This window comes from Homo sapiens, chromosome 20 (genome assembly GCF_000001405.40).
Source record: "Homo sapiens chromosome 20, GRCh38.p14 Primary Assembly".
Taxonomy (NCBI): Eukaryota; Metazoa; Chordata; class Mammalia; order Primates; family Hominidae; genus Homo; species Homo sapiens.
The window spans coordinates 40,613,698-40,628,387 of record NC_000020.11 but is presented as its reverse complement, the minus strand read 5'-3'; the positions used below and the strand labels follow the sequence as shown (position 1 = coordinate 40,628,387).

At 39.2% G+C, this 14,690-nt stretch overlaps 1 long non-coding RNA gene across 2 annotated transcripts in view; it reads left to right on the top strand.

Moving 5' to 3' along the window:
• Positions 1-14,690, top strand: part of LOC102724968 (uncharacterized) — a 75,521-nt gene that overhangs the window by 15,703 nt on the left and 45,128 nt on the right. For both annotated transcript variants that reach the window (XR_001754596.2, XR_001754597.1), the window contains one exon: positions 9,087-9,229. This is a non-coding gene — a long non-coding RNA (uncharacterized LOC102724968). The remainder of the gene's footprint in view (positions 1-9,086; positions 9,230-14,690) is intronic.

The window sequence follows — 14,690 nt, the reverse complement described above, 5'->3', positions numbered from 1 at the left end:
TTCTGTCACCCGGACCACTCCTTCCTGTCTCTTTACACGCAACCTCCCTGCACACTTTGCCCCAGACAAGCACTAACTTGCTTTTTTTTTTTTTTTTAATCACTATAGATTTGGATTGTTCTAGAAACGTCACTTAAATGGAATCATGCAGTACCCTTTTATGTCTGGCCTTTACTGAGGGAGAGATCGGCATTTTGGTGGGGGACTCGGAACTGTACCTCATTTTGTGTTATTCACAAATTTATCTTATTTTCTTTCAATAAGACTTTCTAATTGGGATACTCTGCGTATGGCCCTACTGCTGCTTTGCACTCTGGGTATGTTGGACATCCCACCTCCTCAATAAACTTCCCATGCACACTTCTGAGTCTATGCCTAGAACACACTGTTCCCTCTGCCTGGAATGCCCTTCCCTCCTGAGCCACTGGATGGATCAATGATCATCCCTCCTTGTCCACGTCCAGTGTCTCCTCCCTCCTGGCTTTTCTCAGGCAGAATAGCACACTCCTTTCTTAGATGCCCTAGGATGTTTGGCTTATATTTCTCATCAATGTTCAGTTTATATTGAAATCGTTTTATTTTTGTCATTCTTTCCCTCATAGAATCTGAGTTTTTTAACGGAGGTTTTTGATGGGGGCATTGTGTGTTCAACATGTGACACCTGCTCCTCTCTGCCCCCCTGCTCACCCTAAGTCAGTAGACTGTCCTATGCATTGCAACAAATGTTCATTGTATATGAAAAAAAAGTGAAACTCTTCACATGACATTATAGAAACAAGACAAACAATTCCTTTATTTAGTTGTAGCCATTACTATTTGCTTTCTCATGTGTCAAGAGAAACCAAATAGTGGGGGCAGTAGCACTCACCATTCAGCTAATGGAATGGAAGTGAACTGACTCCATGGGGAACTTCAAAGGAGCCGGGCTCTGGAGGCATAATGGACTGAAAACTGTTCCCTAAGGGATATGTCCAGTCCTAGCCCCTGGAACCTGTGAATGTGACCTTATTTGGAAATGAGATGTTTGCAGCTATAATTAAGGTAAGGAGCTTGAGGTGAGATCATCCTGGATTAGGGTGGGCCCTAAATCCAATGACAAGTGTCCTTCTAAGGGACAGAAAAGGAGAAGATGCAAAGAGACCCAAGGAAGAAGGTCATGTAAAGACAGAGGCAGACATTGGGATGATGCTGCCACCAGCCAAGGAATGTTAGGAGCCATCAGAAGTTGGAAGAGCCAAGGCAGGATCCTACACTAGAACCTTTGGAGGAAGCATAACTTTGCTGGCACCTTGATTTTGGACTGCTGGCCTCCAGAATTATGAGAGAATAAAATTCTGTTGTTTTAAGCCACCAACTTTGGGGTAAGTTGTTGTGGAAGCTGTAGGCAACTAATATAGAGTTGGCAATCTTAAAAAACTACATATATGGAGAGCATGACAAAAGTCAGTTGAGATGTGATAGAGAAACTCTATGGAATTGAAAGTTTGAATGAAGAACCAAAACTCCCGAGGGCTCTGTGAACATTTCAAATATCCAGTCAGCAGGGCAGAAGGCTCTCCTTGTTTTAAAATACTTTTTTTTTTTGAAATAATTTAAATAATTGTTGAAATGGTGAAAAAAATAAAAATTAAGTAAAAAGATATCATTTTCACCCATCAAATAGACAAATATATTAAAAAAAAGATAATCCCTAGTTCTTGCCATGGTATGGGGAAAAATGAAATTTTATTCCTAATGTTGGGAGTCTACCTCCTGAATTTCTCAACAGATGTAAAAGAATCTTAAAAGATACATATCCCTTGACCAGTTAATTCTGCTTCTCAGAATTTATTGCTAAGGAAATATCAGAGATATGAATGATATAAAGATACATTCAAGCTTATTCATTATAGCACTGTTATGGTTTGGCTGTGTCCCCACCCAAATCTCATTTTGAATTGTAGCTCCTACAATTCCCACGTGTGTGGGAGGCAATTGAATCATGTGGACATGCGTTTCCTTGCTATTCTCATGGTAGTGAATAATCCTCATGAGATCTGATGGTATTATGAAGAGAAATTCCCCTGCACAAGCTCATTCTGTCTCTTGCCTGCCATTTTGTAAGACATGCCTTTTGTCTTCTGCCATGATTGTGAGGCCTTCTCAGCCACATGGAACTGTGAGCCCATTAAATCTCTTTTTCTTTATAAATCACCCAGTCTCAGTCTCAGGTATGTCTTTATCAGCAGCGTAACAATAGACTAATACAGTTGAGGTGAGATCATCCTGGATTAGGGTGGGCCCTAAATCCAATCACAGGTGTCCTTCTAAGAGACAGAAAAGGAGAAGATGCAAAGAGACCCAAGGAAGAAGACCATGTGAAGACAGAGGCAGGCATTGGAGTGACACTGCTACCAGCCAAGGAATGTCAGGAGCCACCAGAAGCTGGAAGAGCCTAGGCAGGATCCTACACTAAACCTCTGGAGGAAGCATGACTTTGCTGACACTGACTCAACTGACTTGTGACTTACTACAAGTAAGAGTAGAAAGTTAGAGTAGAAAGTTAGTAGAAAGTTAGAAACAATTTGATATACTCTAAGAGTGGATTGGTTAAATACATGTTGGTATAGTGGCAGAAGTGGAAAAATGCAGCCCTCAAACTTCTTATTTATATTATAGTGAGATACCTAATAACTTGACGAAATGCTTAAGATAAAATATTATATACATATACCCACATACATATCATGAAATATAATAAATTATCCCTGTTTTAATGGTAATAAATTTTGGGTAAAGAGAAGGGACATTTCTTTCTGAGGATCATATAGCTAGTAAATACTGAACACAAGTTCCAAACCCAGGACAATGTCATGCTGTTATGGGCTGACTTGTATCCCCCCAAATTCCTGTTCTTGCAACCCTAAACCCCTAGTACCTCAGAACGTAATCGCTTTTGGAGATAGGATTTTTAAAGAGGTAATTAAGATTAAATGAGGCCTTTCTTTCCTGTGGGCCTTCATCCAATATGACTGATGTCCTTCTTTTTTTTTTTTTCTTTTATTATTATACTTTAAGTTTTAGGGTACATGTGCACATTGTGCAGGTTAGTTACATATGTATACATACGCCACGCTGGTGCGCTGCACCCACTAACTCGTCATCTAGCATTAGGTATATCTCCCAATGCTATCCCTCCCCCCTCCCCCCACCCCACAACAGTCCCCAGAGTGTGATGTTCCCCTTCCTGTGTCCATGTGATCTCATTGTTCAATTCCCACCTATGAGTGAGAATATGCGGTGTTTGGTTTTTTGTTCTTGCAATAGTTTACTGAGAATGATGATTTCCAATTTCATCCATGTCCCTACAAAGGACATGAACTCATCATTTTTTATGGCTGCATAGTATTCCATGGTGTATATGTGCCACATTTTCTTAATCCAGTCTATCATTGTTGGACATTTGGGTTGGTTCCAAGTCTTTGCTATTGTGAATAGTGCCGCAATAAACATACGTGTGCATGTGTCTTTATAGCAGCATGATTTATAGTCCTTTGGGTATATACCCAGTAATGGGATGGCTGGGTCAAATGGTATTTCTAGTTCTAGATCCCTGAGGAATCGCCACACTGACTTCCACAATGGTTGAACTAGTTTACAGTCCCACCAACAGTGTAAAAGTGTTCCTATTTCTCCACATCCTCTCCAGCACCTGTTGTTTCCTGACTTTTTAATGATTGCCATTCTAACTGGTGTGAGATGGTATCTCATTGTGGTTTTGATTTGCATTTCTCTGATGGCCAGTGATGGTGAGCATTTTTTCATGTGTTTTTTGGCTGCATAAATATCTTCTTTTGAGAAGTGTCTGTTCATGTCCTTCGCCCACTTTTTGATGGGGTTGTTTTTTTCTTGTAAATTTGTTTGAGTTCATTGTAGATTCTGGATATTAGCCCTTTGTCAGATGAGTAGGTGGCAAAAATTTTCTCCCATTTTGTAGGTTGCCTGTTCACTCTGATGGTAGTTTCTTTTGCTGTACAGAAGCTCTTTAGTTTAATTAGATCCCATTTGTCAATTTTGTCTTATGTTGCCATTGCTTTTGGTGTTTTAGACATGAAGTCCTTGCCCATGCCTATGTCCTGAATGGTATTGCCTAGGTTTTCTTCTAGGGTTTTTATGGTTTTAGGTCTAACGTTTAAGTCTTTAATCCATCTTGAATTGATTTTTGTATAAGGTGTAAGGAAGGGATCCAGTTTCAGCTTTCTACATATGGCTAGCCAGTTTTCCCAGCACCATTTATTAAATAGGTAATCCTTTCCCCATTGCTTGTTTTTCTCAGGTTTGTCAAAGATCAGATAGTTGTAGATATGCGGCGTTATTTCTGAGGGCTCTGTTCTGTTCCATTGATCTATATCTCTGTTTTGGTACCAGTACCATGCTGTTTTGGTTACTGTAGCCTTGTAGTATAGTTTGAAGTCAGGTAGTGTGATGCCTCCAGCTTTGTTCTTTTGGCTTAGGATTGACTTGGCGATGCGGGCTCTTTTTTGGTTCCATATGAACTTTAAAGTAGTTTTTTCCAAATCTGTGAAGAAAGGCATTGGTAGCTCGATGGGGATGGCATTGAATCTGTAAATTACCTTGGGCAGTATGGCCATTTTCACGATATTGATTCTTCCTACCCATGAGCATGGAATGTTCTTCCATTTGTTTGTATCCTCTTCTATTTCATTGAGCAGTGGTTTGTAGTTCTCCTTGAAGAGGTCCTTCACATCCCTTGTAAGTTGGATTCCTAGGTATTTTATTCTTTGAAGCAATTGTGAATGGGAGTTCACTCATGATTTGGCTCTCTGTTTGTCTGTTGTTGGTGTATAAGAATGCTTGTGATTTTTGTACATTGGTTTTGTATCCTGAGGCTTTGCTGAAGTTGCTTATCAGCTTAAGGAGATTTTGGGCTGAGACAATGGGGTTTTCTAGATATACAATCATGTCGTCTGCAAACAGGGACAATTTGACTTCCTCTTTTCCTAATTGAATACGCTTTATTTCCTTCTCCTGCCTAATTGCCCTGGCCAGAACTTCCAACACTATGTTGAATAGGAGTGGTGAGAGAGGGCATCCCTGTCTTGTGCCAGTTTTCAAAGGGAATGCTTCCAGTTTTTGCCCATTCAGTATGATATTGGCTGTGGGTTTGTCATAGATAGCTCTTATTATTTTGAAATACATCCCATCAATACCTCATTTATTGAGAGTTTTTAGCATGAAGGGTTGTTGAATTTTGTCAAAGGCCTTTTCTGCATCTATTGAGATAATCATGTGGTTTTTGTCTTTGGCTCTGTTTATATGCTGGATTACATTTATTGATTTGCGTATATTGAACCAGTCTTGCATCCCAGGGATGAAGCCCACTTGATCATGGTGTATAAGCTTTTTGATGTGCTGCTGGATTCGTTTTGCCAGTATTTTATTGAGGATTTTTGCATCAATGTTCATCAAGGATATTGGTCTAAAATTCTCTTTTTTGGTTGTGTCTCTGCCAGGCTTTGGTATCAGAATGATGCTGGCCTCATAAAATGAGTTAGGGAGGATTCCCTCTTTTTCTATTGATTGGAATAGTTTCAGAAGAAATGGTACCAGTTCCTCCTTGTACCTCTGGTAGAATTCGGCTGTGAATCCATCTGGTCCTGGACTCTTTTTGGTTGGTAAGCTATTGATTATTGCCACAATTTCAGATCCTGTTATTGGTCTATTCAGAGATTCAACTTCTTCCTGGTTTAGTCTTGGGAGAGTGTATGTGTCCAGGAATTTATCCATTTCTTCTAGATTTTCTAGTTTATTTGCGTAGAGGTGTTTGTAGTATTCTCTGATGGTAGTTTGTATTTGTGTGGGATCAGTGGTGATATCCCCTTTATCATTTTTTATTGTGTCTATTTGATTCTTCTCTCTTTTTTTCTTTATTAGTCTTGCTAGTGGTCTATCTATTTTGTTGATCCTTTCAAAAAACCAGCTCCTGGATTCATTAATTTTTTGAAGGGTTTTTTGTGTCTCTATTTCCTTCAGTTCTGCTCTGATTTTAGTTATTTCTTGCCTTCTGCTAGCTTTTGAATGTGTTTGCTCTTGCTTTTCTAGTTCTTTTAATTGTGATGTTAGGGTGTCAATTTTGGATCTTTCCTGCTTTCTCTTGTGGGCATTTAGTGCTATAAATTTCCCTGTACACACTGCTTTGAATGCGTCCCAGAGATTCTGGTATGTTGTGTCTTTGTTCTCGTTGGTTTCGAAGAACATCTTTATTTCTGCCTTCATTTCGTTATGTACCCAGTAGTCATTCAGGAGCAGGTTGTTCAGTTTCCATGTAGTTGAGCGGTTTTGAGTGAGATTCTGAATCTTGAGTTCTAGTTTGATTGCACTGGGGTCTGGGAGATAGTTTGTTATAATTTCTGTTCTTTTACATTTGCTGAGGAGAGCTTTACTTCCAAGTATGTGGTCAATTTTGGAATAGGTGTGGTGTGGTGCTGAAAAAAATGTATATTCTGTTGATTTGGGGTGGAGAGTTCTGTAGATGTCTATTAGGTCCGCTTGGTGCAGAGCTGAGTTCAATTCCTGGGTATCCTTGTTGACTTTCTGTCTTGTTGATCTGTCTAATGTTGACAGTGGGGTGTTAAAGTCTCCTATTATTAATGTGTGGGAGTCTAAGTGTCTTTGTAGGTCACTCAGGACTTGCTTTATGAATCTGGGTGCTCCTGTATTGGGTGTATATATATTTAGGATAGTTAGCTCTTCTTGTTGAATTGATCCCTTTACCATTATGTAATTGCCTTCTTTGTCTCTTTTGATCTTTGTTGGTTTAAAGTCTGTTTTATCAGAGACTAGGATTGCAACCCCTGCCTTTTTTTGTTTTCCATTTGCTTGGTAGATCTTCCTCCATCCTTTTATTTTGAGCCTATGTGTGTCTCTGCACATGAGATGGGTTTCCTGAATACAGCACACTGATGGATCTTGACTCTTTATCCAATTTGCCAGTCTGTGTCTTTTAATTGGAGCATTTAGTCCATTTACATTTAAAGTTAATATTGTTATGTGTGAATTTGATCCTGTCATTATGATGTTAGCTGGTTATTTTGCTCGTTAGTTGATGCAGTTTCTTCCTAGTCTCGATGGTCTTTACATTTTGGCATGATTTTGCAGCAGCTGGTACCAGTTGTTCCTTTCCATGTTTAGCACTTCCTTCAGGAGCTCTTTTAGGGCAGGCCTGGTGGTGACAAAATCTCTCAGCATTTGCTTGTCTGTAAAGTATTTTATTTCTCCTTCACTTATGAAGCTTAGTTTGGCTGGATATGAATTTCTGGGTTGAAAATTCTTTTCTTTAAGAATGTTGAATATTGGCCCCCACTCTCTTCTGGCTTGTAGGGTTTCTGCCGAGAGATCCGCTGTTAGTCTGATGGGCTTCCCTTTGAGGGTAACCCGACCTTTCTCTCTGGCTGCCCTTAACATTTTTTCCTTCATTTCAACTTTGGTGAATCTGACAATTATGTGTCTTGGAGTTGCTCTTCTCGAGGAGTATCTTTGTGGAGTTCTCTGTATTTCCTGAATCTTAACGTTGGCCTGCCTTGCTAGATTGGGGAAGTTCTCCTGGATAATATCCTGCAGAGTGTTTTCCAACTTGGTTCCATTCTCCCCGTCACTTTCAGGTACACCAATCAGACGTAGATTTGGTCTTTTCACATAGTCCCATATTTCTTGGAGGCTTTGCTCATTTCTTTTTATTCTTTTTTCTCTAAACTTCCCTTCTTGCTTCATTTCATTCATTTCATCTTCCATCGCTGATACCCTTTCTTCCAGTTGATCGCAGCGGCTCCTGAGGCTTCTGCATTCTTCACGTAGTTCTCGAGCCTTGGTTTTCAGCTCCATCAGCTCCTTTAAGCACTTCTCTGTATTGGTTATTCTAGTTATACATTCTTCTAAATTTTTTTCAAAGTTTTCAACTTCTTTGCCTTTGGTTTGAATGTCCTCCCGTAGCTCAGAGTAATTTGATCGTCTGAAGCCTTCTCTCAGCTCGTCAAAGTCGTTCTCCGTCCAGCTTTGTTCCATTGCTGGTGAGGAACTGCGTTCCTTTGGAGGAGGAGAGGCGCTCTGCTTTTTAGAGTTTCCAGTTTTTCTGTTCTGTTTTTTCCCCATCTTTGTGGTTTTATCTACTTTTGGTCTTTGATGATGGTGATGTACAGATGGGTTTTTGGTGTGGATGTCCTTTCTGTTTGTTAGTTTTCCTTCTAACAGACAGGACCCTCAGCTGCAGGTGTGTTGGAGTACCCTGCCGTGTGAGGTGTCAGTGTGCCCCTGCAGGGGGGTGCCTCCCAGTTAGGCTGCTCGGGGGTCAGGGGTCAGGGACTCATTTGAGGAGGCAGTCTGCCCGTTCTCAGATCTCCAGCTGCTCTCCAGCTGCGTACTGGGAGAACCACTGCTCTCTTCAAAGCTGTCAGACAGGGACATTTAAGTCTGCAGAGGTTACTGCTGTCTTTTTGTTTGTCTGTGCCCTGCCCCCAGAGGTGGAGCCTACAGAGGCAGGCAGGCCTCCTTGAGTTGTGGTGGGCTCCACCCAGTTCGAGCTTCCTGGCTGCTTCGCTTACCTAAGCAAGCCTGGGCAATGGCGGGCGCCCCTCCCCCAGCCTCGCTGCCGCTTTGCAGTTTGATCTCAGACTGCTGTGCTAGCAATCAGTGAGACTCCGTGGGCGTAGAACCCTCCGAGCCAGGTGTGGGATATAATCTCGTGGCGCGCCGTTTTTTAAGCCCGTCGGAAAAGCGCAGTATTCGGGTGGGAGTGACCCGATTTTCCAGGTGCCGTCCGTCACCCCTTTCTTTGACTAGGAAAGGGAACTCCCTGACCCCTTGCGCTTCCCGAGTGAGGCAATGCCTCACCCTGCTTCGGCTCGCGCACGGTGCGCGCACCCACTGACCTGCGCCCACTGTCTGGCACTCCCTAGTGAGATGAACCCGGTACCTCAGATGGAAATGCAGAAATCACCCGTCTTCTGCGTCGCTCACGCTGGGAGCTGTAGACCGGAGCTGTTCCTATTCAGCCATCTTGGCTCCTCCCCTGACTGATGTCCTCCTTATAGGAATGGGAAATTCAGATGCAGACAGGTGCTGAAGACCATGTGAAGGCACAGGGAGGAGGTGGCCATCTGCAAGCCAAGGAGAGAAGCCTCAGAAGAAACCAACCCTGCCAACACCGTGACCTCAGACTCCAGCCCCCAGAACTGTGAGAAATACATTTCTATTATTTATGTCAATCTGTGGTACTTTGCTATGGCAGCCCTGGTGAACTAATATACATGCACAAGAACTTTTTCCAGTATGCCATTATTTTAATTGTTTAGAGCTGTCTAATAGAAATCTACTATGAGCCACATATGTAATTTAAAATTTTCTAGGAACCACATTAAACAAGTAAAAACAGAGGTAAAATTAATTTTAATAACACATTTTCTTTAATCCAATAAATCTAAAATATGATTATTTTAACATGCAACTTCTCAGAGACATTATTAGTAAAATACGTTCCTTTTTTCATACTATGTCTTTGTCTTTGTACTTGTATCTGGTGTGTGTTATATACTTACAGCACATATTAATTTGGATTAGCCACATTTCACATGGGTTAATAGCCCCATGTGGCTAGTTGTTACCATGTTAGACATGACAGGTATAGATAAGCCATTTTTTTCTGCAGATCAATTTTAAAAAATCCTTGTTCTATTCTGTCAATACATGATCATTGTTAAAACGCATTTAAAAATTGAGCAAGTTTGCTCTGGAACATTATTCCTGGGAATTTTGTCTTTGCTTTGACATTAGCAACTCAAATAGCTGAGTTAGTTGTTCATCAAAAGACTAAGCTATTTAAATATTTTGGCCATTAGCTTTCTTCCTTGGCATTAGACTGTAAGTATTCAGAAGCTGATCCTAATCCTGGAAGATACAATCTTAATGCCGTAATTGCAAATGTTGAAATCCCAAAAGATCAAAATCCTGAAAATATGATTCTGGAAAAAATAATAAAATATTCTTTAAAAAACATTTATTTACATGTTAAAATGGGTTTTCCTGAGAAACATATAAAAACATGACAGAACACTTCCTAGGCCAGTTTACACAATGAAATAGGGAATAATAACATACATTTTTTATAAGCATAAACACCCAGGTATACTAAAAACATTTACAGGAGTGTAACAGTTATGATCAGACAAATGTATTCATAAAGAAATAGGTCAAAAAGCGAAATGTATGAATGCATATCATCATGGTTGGTAATTGGCTGCACCCGGCTTTATAACTGTGGTCACTTGAAATATCGTGTCAGACAACCTGTATTTTGATGAGACTGACCAAAACCCTCAATGGGTCACCACTGCATATGCAGTCTTGCAAAGAGCTGAGATCTCAATAAATTTTAGCTTTCAAAAACGAAAACGAACAAAAATAACATCTCTTACACTACAGAGGAAATTTCAATGTTTTTATGTTGAGAACCAGAGAAGCTTATGGTCTATCAGTCAAGAACCGAAAGCTTCACTACCTGCGGGGCTGTAGGTATAACAACTGAAGTCCAAAGGCCAGCAAGCCTGGAGTACTGATGTCCAAAGCAGCAGAAGAGAGTCTGCCCCAGCTCTCAGAGAGAAATTGATTCGCCTTCTGTGCCCTGGCTGATTGGAGGGTGCCTGACAAGGTTGAGGGCAGATCTTCCCTACGGAGTTCACTCAGACTCACACTCATCTCATCTGGAAACAACCTCACAGACACTCCCAAAATAATGCTTTATCAGGTTTCTAGGGACTCCTTAATCTAGTCAAGGTGACACCTAAAATTAAATTCACAAGTCCACCTCTTGTCAACTTGGCACCCATATGCATCTCCTTAAACCATACTTAACTTCCAAACAAAGACACTAACAGAGTAATCGTTCTCCCTAACCTGATGCAACTATCCTGTGTTTGTGATTTTTGGGATTTTAGACCTTAGGAATTTTAGACTTTAGAAATGTGGATGTCAGGGATTTCAACATTTGGGTTATGGCATTTGGCATTGTGTCTTGTGGGATTATAATCCACAGGAAAGCATCAAATTCAGAATGTTCCTAGGCCTAGAGGGAGATCCTTTTTGCCCCTCATCCCTTTTATGACATACCTCTGCTAGCTCACTTGCATATTATTTGTAGCAGTTAAGGGACCATGCTTCTCTTTCCTTCACTGACATCTCACATCCAAGTTTTAATTTGCTGATGGATGAGGTGCATGAGCCAGAGATAACTGAATGGGTTCAAATAGCCTGGTATTTCCAGGATCTTATAAAAACTTTGCAGTAACCAGGAATGCAGATAAGTTGAGGAAGACTCAGTCGGAACTCTTAGCCATTGCTCTCAACCCTTACTGATTCATGAAGGGAATCCCTCATTTCTGAGTATAATTGAGGACATGATCAGCTGAAGGAGCAGAAGGAAGGGAAAAATGAACTACTAAATGCTGAATGTGTGCTTACGTACCAGTCATTTCCTTGGTGCCAGCCAGCAGTGTGTCTATTGAGCAAAGCATGGTAGATTTTCAAAGAAATCAGCTGGATAAATTCCAGTTTAAAATGGCATCTGGCTAGCTATTGCTGCCCGTGACACAGCCTCTCTTGATTTCCAATTAACCTCTCTAATGAAGACACAGAAACAGTGCAGCCCTGCCATCGTAAAAGTGGAGACGCTCTTTCCCTCTCCCTCTCTTTGCATTGGCTCAGAGACATAGCATCTGCAGCAATTAAAAAATTGGATGGCCATCTCTCAAGTCTGTGAGTTGCTTTTTAAGGCAGCCAAATCTTGCCATCCTCAATATATTTGTTGAAGATCATATGTTTTGTAAAATGACAGGGTAGAAAGTTGTGACCTTAATACATGGATCCTGGGAGGAATAGATACTATAAGTAAAGTTGTGTGATGAGGACAGAGACAAGGACAGACTGAGCAGCAGGGCCTGCTGGACACTGTAGACTTTCATATGTTCTGCTGATTTTGAATGTTAAAGAATAAGGCAAGAAAATTTGGAAGCGATTCCACCTCAGTAGAGCAGAGCTCCATTAGATAAAAAGCTGAAAAAAAAAAAGAATAAAAAAGAATAATAGGGTTTAAAATAACCCCCTTCCCCAACACACAAATAAACACATACCAAATTCTCCAAGTAAATGTGGAGTCAAAGAAGTTAATAAACATCTTCCCTCAAAGAAAATTCTAGGTCTCAATATTTTCACAAGTGAATTCTCTCAATATTTAAGAAGAAATAACATCGTTTACAAACTCTTTTCAGAAAAGAGAGGAGGAAGAAACACTCCCTAATTCATTTCATGACCCTCATTTATGAAACTATAATGCCCAAATCTGACAGATATTTCCTCTTGTTCCAAAAAATTAAAGGAAGATAGAAAGAATTACTGACAAAAAGTCCTGGATGAACAGAGCCTCAAAAACCCTTAACAAAATATTAGCAAACCCAATCCAGTAGTGTATATGAAAAGAATGACACATTCTGACTTTTTTATTATGTCAGAATTATCTCAGAAATATAAAGTTCATTTAACACTTAAAAATCCAACAGTATAATCCACTGCATTAACAGAACTAGGAAGAAACATGCATCAAGGAGAAAAGAGACTTGACAGAAAATGAACATCCCATTGATAAAAACAATCTAGTCATTAATCTAGCAATAAAACCATCTAGTAATAAAAGAGAAACTTCTCAATCGATAAAGATTATTTATTAAAAAGATACATCAAACATCATACTTATTGGTGAAATATTGAACACTTTCTCACTAAGATTGGAAACAAGGCAAAGATGCCCTCTCTCACCATTCTATTTAACATTGTACTGCGATTGCAGCCATTGCAAAAGGAGAAAAACCAAAAATAAAAAAAATGCATACAGATAGGAAGAGGTAAAATTGTACTTATTTGCTGGTGTCATGATTGTTTACATATAAAATCTTAATAAATCTATGAAACAACTACTAGAAGTAATCCGTGAATTTAGAGAGCTCGTAAGATTCAAGGTAAACATACACAAATCAATTTTATTATTTATATACTAGCAACAAATGTTTGGGAAGTAAAATTTTAAGAAACCCTTTACAGATTATCAAAAACAAAAAATACTGGGGATTAGATTTAACAGTATATGTACAAGACCTCTACACTGAAAACTATAAAACATTGCTGAGAGTAAATAAAGAAGACCCAAATCAATGGGTGGTTATGGATACGAAGATATAATGTTGTCAAGATGTTAATCCTCTCCCAACCGACCAATAGATTCAACATAATCACAATAGAAAGACTTTTGCAGAAACTGAAAAAAATGACTCTACTATTTATATATAAATGCAAGCACATAGAATACTTTGATAAAACAATCTTGATAAAGAAGAACAGTTAGTCAACTTATACTATCTGATTTCAAGACTCATTTTAAAGCTAAAGCAATTAAGACAATGTGGTACTGGCATAACCATCAACAAATGATTAGTGGAACAGAACAGAAAGCTCATAAACACACTCCACTGGCCAACTAATTTTTGATAGAATCATCAAAGCAATTCAATACAGAAAGAAAAGTCTTCTAACTAAGGATGCTGCAATAGCCAGTTATTCTCGTGAGAAAAAGGACTTTAACTGCCACTTTATACAATATACAAACCACACAGTTTTCAATAGAAATATAGGATAGTATCTTTATGACTTAGGGATAGACTAAGTTTTCTTTGACAAGACTCAGAAAAACTGATAAATTAGACTTCATCAAAGCTTGAAACTTCTGCTCATAAATAGACGTTATTAAGAAAACTTCTGCTCATAGATAGACACTGTTAGGTAGGCAATCTACAAACTGGATAAAATTATAAGTAAAACAGATGTTATCTGACAATAGACTGGTATCCAGGATGTATAAAGAACTCCTGCAATTTAATAATAAAGGAGTAAAAATGAGCAAATTAACTGGACAGGCATTTCACAAAATATATACACCTGGCCAATGACCAGATATAAAAATACTCAATATCATTACTTATCAGGAAAATTCAAACCACAATGTGACATCCTTATTCACCCTTCAGAAGTTCTAAAATGAAAGATGGAAACAATCCCAATTGTCAAGAATGTGGAGCAACTGGAACTGTCATACATTGTTAGTGGGCGTTTGGCAAAATGTCTCATAATTTTTCATAAATCTGAACACATATCTACCCTGTGACCCAGAAATTTGAATCCCAGGTAATTAACCAAGAAAACTGAAAATATATGCCTACAAAAAGGTTTGTACAAGTATGTTCCTAGCAAGACCTTATTAGTATATAATAATAATAATTATAAACTGGAAACAGCCCAGGTGTCTATCAATAGGAGAATGAATAAACACATTACAGTATATTCATGCAATGGAATACTACTTAGGAATAGAAAGGAACAAATTATTGAACATGCAACAGCACAGAGGAATCTCAAAAGGTTTTGTCATGTGAAAGAAGTCATCTACAAGAGTACACATGGGAACGGTATTCCATAATATGTTGTTCTAAAATAGGCAAAACTAATTCATGGTGGAGAAAAACAGAATAGTGATTTACTCTGGGGGAAGAAATGGTTATTGATGAAAAAGGGACATGAGGGAATTTCCTGGAATGATG